At 45.3% G+C, this 8,195-nt stretch overlaps 1 protein-coding gene across 14 annotated transcripts in view; it reads right to left on the bottom strand.

Annotated features, from left to right (window-relative positions):
* Positions 1-1,600: 1,600 nt before the first annotated feature.
* Positions 1,601-8,195, bottom strand: part of NCK2 (NCK adaptor protein 2) — a 149,820-nt gene continuing 143,225 nt past the window's right edge. For all 14 annotated transcript variants that reach the window (XM_017005105.2, XM_017005103.2, NM_003581.5 and 11 more), the window contains one exon: positions 1,601-2,891. In XM_017005105.2, the coding sequence (XP_016860594.1) occupies positions 2,697-2,891 (195 nt within the window). In that variant the 3' untranslated portion in view covers positions 1,601-2,696. The remainder of the gene's footprint in view (positions 2,892-8,195) is intronic.

The following is an 8,195-nucleotide window of genomic DNA, read 5'->3' as shown; positions in this document are numbered from 1 at the left end:
TTGAACTAGCACTGAAAATGATTTGGAAACATTGGTTTCAGCCATTATAAAGACTAGAAGATTTTAATTTGTGATGCAGTTTGGGAAAAAAGTTGGCCAGTTGTAGCTCACAAGAAACATCATTTAATGGCACTGGGCCATAAACCATACGTGACGGTCTTGGTGGTTACGTGCCAGCAGGATGGCACGATGTTTACCTAAAAGGCATATTTAGATACAAACAAGTGAGCAAAGTTACCTGAGTGCAGAATGACTAACCTTTATTGTCCCTTGCTGTCTGTGCAAAGAGGCAACAGAACAGCAAAACAAGATCTGTCCAGGAAGATTGATGGCATTGGCCCGCCTGGCCAGAGCATCAGTGGCCACACTCCAAGCGACGTGGGGACCCTGCCTGGACCTCCCACTCTGACTAGTGGCTCATCACGGGACTATCAATTCACCCTCCAGTGGTCCATCTGACATCCTGGGGTGCCGGTTCCTTAATATAAAAATACTAATCTTGACCTCCTGCAGGCAGACAGAGGACGCCCACAAGCCAGCATGTGACAAGACTGAAAATAACTGTCACCTACAACTATGAGCCTTAAGTAAGTTCCTGAAGCCAAAATGTACATCTGTCTTTGGTCCTTTAGTTGCTCGGCTATACCTGAATTGCTATGTGTACATCAAAGTCATTCAGCTGTCCAGGCACTCAATATTTAGTGGGATTCCAGCATCAGGTCAAAATGTCATTCTCATTAGTGAGACCCGAAAGAGTCTGGAGGGACTGGTTTTTCCCTGGATGTATTCTGTCTCATGTAATGATCTCCCTCACCTGAATGTCTATTCACAATGACTGGGTGCCACCAACCTCAGGTACAAGACACCAGAGTTCTAATTTATTGTAATCTAAGGCAGCAGCAAAAAGATACAATTTCCTCACAGGGAACTCGCATGGCAGAGTAAGTGTGCAACACCTCGCTTCTCCCGAACACCTTCCTACGCTGGGGTTGGAAGGGTCCAGCGCTAGTGCAGATCCTTGGCTGTGCATCCTGGCTCCACCATGCAGCAGCCACATGTTGGGTGCACTGCCTGTAGACCTCACTTTCCCCATCTATAAAATGGGGATGATAGCAGGTCCCACCTCATGGGGCTGTGATGAGGAACAAATGGGGGCGCAGTGCATGGTGCAGAGGGAGCGCTTGATACGTGATTGGCCTAGGAGGGCACAAATGCCAAGTCATGTGACTCTGCACCCCCAGGGCCTGGCACATCAATATAAATGCTCCCGATCAAGAGGACAAATCGAGAGTTAGTCGTGGGGGACACATGGTGTGAGAGCGCTGGCTGCCAAGAGTTCAGCAACATATTTCTAAACAAATATTTTCCAAAGAGCAAAGTTCAGACCAAGCTTGAGATTCTGGGTTCCCTTGGGGTTTCACTAATTAAAACTCATTATTTCAATATACAAAAATGTGGGGGTAGAAAATGAAAACACACAAGTAATAAATGTTAAGCTCTTCTCTAAAAATGATTTCCACTCCGCAATGAGTGAATGCTTCAGTAATTACTCTCCCATGATTGAGTCTGAGTTTTCCCAAAGATAAATACACACAGAGCCTTGTCATAATACTTTTTTTTATTACAATATCCAAAAAACTGGGTATGCAAGTTTAGGGGATCTCAAGACCCCTTCTTCAATCGTAGGAATGTGCCATCTCAAGACGTTATATTTAAACTATAAAGAAGTTCAAATGTAAAGGAAAAAGAAAATGCAATTTCTTCATAAACATTCTGTGTGTCTCTTACTACCAATCACATACTCTTTTGTAAACCCTGAAAAATTTCCCTGTAAATAATATATATATATATAGTGTGTGTGTGTGTGTGTGTGCACGTGTGTGTGTGTATAAAGTGTTGGTAGCTCCCTTCCCCAAAGATCAGCTGTTTTCCTTAATCATCTGTATTAGTGTCAACAAACGGCTACAGATACATATTTCTTTGAGAATTAAATACATAATTGTGAGATTCAAACAAGCCGAAGGGCAAGAGGAAAAAGCACTATGTGGATGGCACATTTGGGGTAAATTACCAAAACATCTGTCTTTCTGAGTCACCGGTTCCCTCTTTTGCAGACTGCCTTTCCAGGAAATTCTTTATTGCAAGCACAGCCCCAAAGGCACTGGGCAGTCTCCTCACTGCCATCGCACCCGGTGGTTCCAGTATTGCTATCAGCAAACGTATCGGCTCCCTGCACAGTCCGGGAGCCATGTAAGGGCACAGGACATGGGCGAGGGCTGCTAGGACTGGGGCCATCGCACCTGCTCTGCCCAGCACGCTGAGTGCCCAGGACACGGGCGCTGCCGCTGGGTGGCCTTAGGCTCGCTCCTGCGCTCACAGGTGCCCTGCGTCTTTTTAAAGAGGGGTTCCATGAGCGGGAACGAGTTGAATGCACGAGCGCCACTTCCGATGGAAAAGGAATAATGTGAACTCGCCCTGCTCCTCCCCTCCTCTAAAGCTGGCCGGCCGGGTGGGCTCGAGTGTGGGTGTGAGGCCTGGATGGCAAATGGGAGACGAACCGACCAAGCGACCTGAACATAAAGAGAGACTCGCAGAGAAGCCGTCGGGGCCGTCCCCGCGGGAGGAGCCTCTGCCACAAGGCCGGGCGGGCAGCTCCACCGTGGGGCCCGGGAGGCGAGTGTGGGGCCGGGGCGCCGTCACTGCAGGGCCCTGACGAGGTAGAGCTTCTCCCCGTGCTCGCTGGTGAAGATGGGCGCCTTTTTGTAGTGTTCCACCAGCTCGTCCATGGTGTGGAAGCGCCGCTGCCCAATGCAGTAGACATTGTCCACGAGCTGCACCTTGAAGTGTTTGTTCTTCCCTGACGCTTTAAGGGACACGGAGAAGTCGCTGGGCTGGGGAGGAAACAGAACACAGTTACAGCCGGGCCACAGCGGGGAGCTGTGTCTAAATCCATCCACATCTCTTGTGCGTCTAAATCCAAACCACCCATTGCTCAAACACTGGGTCTCTGCTTTTTTTTTTTTTTTTGAGATGGAGTTTCACTCTTTTGCCCAGGCTGTAGTGTAGTGGCCCAATCTCGGCTCACTGCAACCTCCGCCTCACGGGTTCAAGCGATTCTCCTGTCTCGGCCTCCCGAGTACCTGGGATTACAGGAACCTGCCACCATGCCCGGCTAATATTTGTATTTTTAGTAGAGACAGGGTTTCGCCATGTTGGCCAGGCTGGTCTTGAACTTCTGACCTCAGGTGATCCCCACCCCCCTCCCAGCCTCAGCCTTCCAAATTGCTCGGATTACAGGCATGAGCCACCACGCCCAGCCGGGTCTCTGTTTTATATCTAGAACGGCATCTGATGTTCAGAAAGACCTGGAGGTAGTCCACGATTCTGAAATTCTGAACCAAAGAAAAAATAAATTCTGCTTAGCCCAGTTTCAGTGCTAAATGCGTTTTAGTTATTTGAAAAGTGCAAACTCATTATGGAATATACAGCACTTCACTATGGAATATACAGTGTTGCCCTGACTGCTCAAGAAATTTGCTGTTTTTCATTTCCCAAACTATTTTTTGATAAACTGGGAATTTATTAAGAGTGGTTTGCATGCAGGCAGTAGCTAGAAATTTTACTACTTCTGATGTCTAACCCTATTAGAAATTAAGACATCAAAATTTTTCTAATTCTTTTTTTTTTTGAGACGCAGTTTTGCTTTTGTTGCCCAGGCTAGAGTGCAATGGTGTGATCTTGGCTCACTGCAACCTGCGCCTCCCAGGTTCAAGCAGATTCTCCTGCCTCAGCCTCCCGATGTGCCACCATGCCTGGCTAATTTTTCTAATTCTAAGCATTTAAAAATATGAACAGCAGTGGAAAATTCCGGTCGCATTTTAAACATAGTTCACAATATCCCAGAGGAAGCTGAACTATGGTTTGATTACAGATTTTATTGAAAAATATTTAAATTCTGTGATGTGCCTTCTATTTCAGAATATTTTAGAAACATGTCATTATTTTAATTAAAATGTGTCTTTTATTGGCCAGGTGCAGTAGCTCACGCCTGTAATCTCAGCACTTTGGGAGGCCAAGGCAGGTGGATCACCTGTGGTCAGGACTTTGAGACCAGCCTGGCCAACATGGTGAAACCTCATCTCTGCTAAAAAATACAAAATTAGCCAGGCATGGTGGTAGTGTGCCTGTAATCCCAGCTACTTGGGAGGCTGAGGCAGGAGAATCGCTTGAACCTGGGAGGTGGAAGTTGTAAGCTGAGATCACGCCACTGCACTCTGGTCTGGGCAACAAGAGCGAAAAATCTCAAAAAAAAAAAAAAAAAAAAAAAAAAAAAAAAAAAATTGGTCTTTTATCTCATTTGCTGAAAAGCATGCAGGAAAGAAGATACTGAACGATAAATGTTCTTTGTACAAAAATATCAAGTTTTGATCAATTCATTAAATGAATAACAATTAGTTACTAACACATGCCAGGCAGGCGGTGCCCTGGATACATGTGTGTGCATGCAGGACATATGCTCTGTGACAATCTGGTGTGGGGAACAGATAAATAGAGGTGTACAGATGGCTGCACAGGGCAGTAAGTTCTATGAAAAAAAAAAAGAAAACAAACAAAAAAAAGAGTTGCATGAAAGAGGAGCATGAGATACCGCAGCTCTAAGTGTGTGAGCGTGCGCAGATGTGAGAGGGAGTATGTGAGTATTGAGAGTGTGTGAGAGTATGCGTAGCGTGTGAGTTCATCTGTGTGAATGTATAAGTGCGTGTGGGGGCAGGAGAGCCCTCTGGACAATGTGGAGCTGAGCATGTGCTCTCCGAGGCAGGGCTGGTACCTCGGACATGCCTGGCCAGTGGCAGGACCACAGCCTAACATCCGAAATTCTTCCTGGAATTCCCAGACCAGTTTTCTGCTTTTCTCAAAGCCCAGAAACTTCCTGCTCTGAGGGTCCAGCAGCTCAGCCCTGCTCTGCGACCTCCCAGCAGGACCTCCAGACAGTTAACAAAGGACTAGGCCATTGTCTATTACAGAGTTCACAAAAGCCCAAATAAATGTTTGATGAGAAGTGTGCAACCCTTGCAAAACAAGGAATCACTCCATTTCTACCAATGACAACTCAGGGGAATGAGTGTCTGAGAAGACTCAAATTGTGCAAGGCAGCTGGGCTCACCCAGCAGCCATAGCTGTTAACAGAAAAGAATGAAAGGAACAATTGTAAGTATAGTTTGTATTTATGCATGCCTCTGTCTCAAATAGACCAAATAAGAACAAACCTTTGAGGCGAAAAGCCCCATCTCATCCCCATGTGAGGCCCAGGGCATACTCCTGGATGAAACTCCAGGAAGAAACCAGAAGGTTAATCTCAGATTAGGCCTCAGCCTATAGATGATTAATATTCTGTACTAGAAGTTGTATCTTTAGGAAAAGATGAAGGGCAGTCTCACTTATAGAGTTTACTATAAGCCAGGCTCAATTTAGAGATAATGTGGCATCATTTTTAGTGGAGGCAGTATGGGAGTGAATCATGGTAGATGTAAGATACACCCAATTTTAATTAAGCCAAATGATCAACAGATGACTTTCTACATAAGGGAAATTTGCTTTTAATTCAAGCTCCTTAATTTAACATCATGGTGTGTGTGTGCCTGTATGCATGCATGAGTTGCAGCAATAAAATTTTCGCAGCAGAAGAGGTAATTTTTAATTTCGTGGGCTCCTGAGCAGAAACCTTTAAAAGTTAAGGATGTAGAACCAATTTATGCCAAGCAGGAGTGCTAAAAGTTGGGGAGTGTTCTTTAATTTAAACTAAGTAGATTTTCTGTAGGAAATCTGAAAAAGAACAATCTGTATACTAACATACACCGTTACATATGACCACTGAACACCTCTAAGTGAAGTGTGAAGATGAACTAGTTAAGATGTTCTCCAAGTGTGCTCTCAAGACCAGCAGCATGAGCATCCTCTGAGAACTGGTTAGGAAGCATATTCTCAAGGGCCAGCCATGGAAGCTCACACCTGTAATCCCTGCCCTTTGGGATGCCATGGTGGCAGGATTACTTGAGGCCAGGACTTTGAGATCAGCCTGGGCAACATAGTGGGACCCTATCTCTACATAAAATTTAAAATAATTAGCCAGGTGTGGTGATGCATACCTGTGGTCCCAGCTACTTGGGAGGCCAGGGTGGGAGGATCACTTGAGCCCGGGAGGTCAAGGCAACAGTGAGGTATGACAGGGCCACTGCACTCCAGCCTAGATGACAGAGTGAGACCCTATCTCAAAATAATTAAAAAAAAAAAAAAAAAAAAAGAAATGCAAATTCTCAGGCTCTGCCTCAACCCTGCTGTAGCAGAAATTCTGGGGTGGAGCCCAGCCATCTGTGTTTTAACCTCCAGCACCGTGTGTTTTAATAAGCCCTTCAGGGGACTCTGATGCAGTTTGAGAACTGGAAGAAAGAAAATCTGGAACAAACATCGGCAGTGCTGGAGCCACCAACAAATGTTTGGTCACCAGAAAAAGATGGGAATGCCATTTATGGGCAAAGCAGCCCATGATGGAGGGAGCTCCAGTCTGTGGATACTTTTCCAATTCTGTCCTGAGGACTCTGGCTCTGCTCCAGACATCTCTCATAGGGAATTTCCCCTGAAGGGACAGCTGGGACACTGCTGTATGGTCTCCTCCTTTCAAAGTGAGCCACCAGTCCCTGCATCTGATGGAGATGGAGTTACTCCCGACCCAAAACAACTCTGCCTCCAGAGGGAGCCAGGGAATGATTCCCATGAAAGCAACTCCATCAGTCCTATTCTCATCTGTTGCAGTCCTTCCACGGTTGGCTTTCTAGAACAGATTTCAAGAAATTGGATGAAAAAGGACCATGCCACACTTGCTCCTCAACAAGTACTAGAGTACTGATAGTATGGTAGAGTACTCTACATTTAAGCTTGTCAAAGAATCTTAACACATTTTTGAAACATGCAGTCAGGATGCTGGCTGAGGCTGCAGTCATCTGAAGGCTAGACTGGGGATGCAGGCTCTACTTCCAAGGCAGTCTGCTCACATGAACCCCTAGGGGGCTCTGTAGGGCTGCCTGAATGTACTCTCAACATGACAGCTGGCTCACCCTAGATCAAGTGACCCAAGAGAGAGCAAAGAGGCAGCCACAATGCCCATCTCGGAAGCTGCCCTCCATCGCTTCTGCCACATCTTGGTCATTAGAAGTGAGTTGCTCAGTGCAGCCCATGCTGAAGGGAAGAGGGTCAGGCTCCACCTTCTGAAGCAAAGAGTACCAAAGAATTTATGGACATCTTTTTAAGCCATCATAGATGGACAGGACACTCATTACAATTTTCTATGATTGGACTAAAACCTAACTAGACTCAGTCCCCGGGTTTTGAAACATCTCCCCTTTGATTTCTCCTCTTTAATTGCCACCTTTGTGCTACCTCCCACTGTCCGCATTTCCTACACTTTCCATCTCCAAACACTGTACTTACTTGGTATATAGTAATTTCTCTGTGCTGACTACTGGGCAAATTCTTCAAATTTTCAAACATCAGACCACTTCTTCCTGTTATGTCCTTCTATGAGTACTCCTTATAAGGAATGATTTTTCCATTCTCATAGTTTTTGAATCAATGGTTCTGGAGAATGAACAATTAGTACAACCCATTCATTTGACCCTTCTTTTCAGAAGTCATTTTCCAAGTGGAATCTAAGGACAATTAATAGGTTGGCGGAAAACCAACCTCTCTCGGGGCCTCTATCATCATTATTTTTGTTTAGGCTTTAGATTCTGTGTTTGAATACAACTAAGTGCAAGAACCCTATTTAGCTCCACATCCCCACACCGGGCTCAGAGTATCTGGTGTTCAACAAACGTGCAGACTTAAAAATTTCTAATTTTGACTACCTCTTCCATTATTCATTCCTTTAGGTAATTCTTACACCTCATCTCTTTGCAATTTGTGCTCGCGATAAGTGGGTACTTTTAGAAAAGAACAGTAGAGAGCACACTCTTTGATCCCATCTCTATGGCTTTGCCAGCTTGATCCATTGCCTCAAATACTTGCTGAAAAGCACCTTTGCAGTTTTATAAAACAGATGTCCTGATCAGATACGCCTCTCCCTCTCTCAAGATTTAATCATTGTTTTCTCATAGAAGGAAAAAAATGAATGCCGAGGACAGACTTTAATATCCTTTATT

Source organism: Homo sapiens, chromosome 2, assembly GCF_000001405.40.
Source record: "Homo sapiens chromosome 2, GRCh38.p14 Primary Assembly".
In the NCBI taxonomy this organism is placed as follows: domain Eukaryota; kingdom Metazoa; phylum Chordata; class Mammalia; order Primates; family Hominidae; genus Homo; species Homo sapiens.
Note: the sequence above shows the minus strand (reverse complement) of the source record. Positions and strands in the feature narration are given on the sequence as shown.